The following is a 1,539-nucleotide window of genomic DNA, read 5'->3' as shown; positions in this document are numbered from 1 at the left end:
TTTAAAGAGATGAAGTTAAAATGAGGCTGTTAAGTTAGGCCCAGATCTAATCTGACTGGTGTCCTCATACTAAGAGGAAATTTGGACACACAATGAGACACCAGAGAGGTGCATGCACAAAGAAAAGACCATGTGAGGATGCAACAAGAAGGTGACCATCTGCAAGGCAAGGAGAGAGTCCTCAGAATGAAATTAACCTTGCCAACACCTTGATCTTGGACTTCTAGCCTCCAAAACTGTGAGAAAACAAATTTCTCATAGCTGTATAAGGAACTCAGTCTGTGTTATTTTGCTATAGCAGCTCTCGCAAACTAATACAGTCCCTGGCTCTGACAATGATTGTTGAAACTTGTGTTAACCAAGGGTTTTGGGTGCTTTGACACGGGCGGTTTTCTGCACCCTGGAGGGACTGACCCTCTAACGGCTAGCCAATTCCTAGAAATAGTAAAGGACTCACCTACCTTTTTTTTTTTTTTTACCTTTACTAGGTAAACCTAGTAAAGTTTACCTTTTACATGTAAGTCAAGTAATCCAGAGTCCATACCCCAACTATCTCCTCTACTAAGCTGTCACTGGGCTTTCACACCTAGGAGGCTGAGGCAGGAGAATCGCTCGAACCAGGGAGGTGGAGGTTACAGTGAGCTGATATCACGCCACTGCACTCCAACCTGGGTGACAGAGAGAGACTCTGTCACAAAAAAAAAAAAAAAAAAAAAAAGGAAAGAAAAATTTGTATGTTTAGTAGTGACAGGGTTAAGCCATGCTGGCCAGCCCAGGCTGGTCTTGAACTCCTAAACTCAGGAGATCTGCCCACCTTGGCCTCCCAAAATGCTGGGATTACAGGCATGAGCCACTGCACCCAGCGAGACTCCATCTCAAAAAGAAAGAAAGGAGGAAAGAAAGAAAGAAAGAAAGAAAGAAAGAAAGAAAGAAAGAAAGAAAGAAAGAAAGAAAGAAGAAAGGAAGGAAGGAAGGAAGGAAGGAAGGAAGGAAGGAAGGAAGGAAGAAAGAAAGAAAGAAAGAAAGAAAGAAAGAAAGAAAGAAGAAAGAAAGAAAGAAAGAAAGAAATTTAAATTTTCACAGCACGCTTAAACCCTGGAAAAATCGGTAAGGTAAGCGTAAGCAATTGCCCTTTGCCCCAGCCTGTTTTTCTGATCTGGAAGGATGGTGATCCATCTGTTGACTTTCTCTTTGTTTTGAGATGGAGTCTCTCACTGTTGTCACCCGGGCTGGAGTGCAGTGAGCCTAGGCTCACTGCAGCCTCTGCCTCCCAGGTTCAAGCAATTCTCCTGCCTCAGCCTCCCAAGTAGCTGGGATTACAGGCGTGTATCACCATGCCCGGCTAATTTTTTTTGTACTTTTAGTAGAGACGGGGTTTCATTATGTAGGTGAGGCTGGTTTCAAACACCTGACCTCAGGTGATCCACCTGCCTCGGCCTCCCAAAGTGCAGGGATTACAGGCATGAGCCACCATGCCTGGCCCCATCTATTGACTTTCAATCTTCTATTGCTTTTCTTTTCTTTTTTGAGACAGAGTCC

The 1,539-nt window shown here is 44.1% G+C and overlaps 1 annotated feature.

Moving 5' to 3' along the window:
• Positions 1,024-1,318: a silencer, noted in NCBI's record as "tiled region #2897; K562 Repressive non-DNase unmatched - State 24:Quies". NCBI's record gives its function as "represses a minimal TATA promoter and a strong SV40 promoter by Sharpr-MPRA in K562 cells {active_cell/tissue: K562}" and the evidence as "EXISTENCE:reporter gene assay evidence [ECO:0000049][PMID:27701403]".

Source organism: Homo sapiens, chromosome 3 (assembly GCF_000001405.40).
Source record: "Homo sapiens chromosome 3, GRCh38.p14 Primary Assembly".
NCBI lineage: Eukaryota > Metazoa > Chordata > Mammalia > Primates > Hominidae > Homo > Homo sapiens.
The sequence above is the reverse complement of the archived record's forward strand: the minus strand, read 5'-3'. Positions and strand labels throughout refer to the sequence as shown.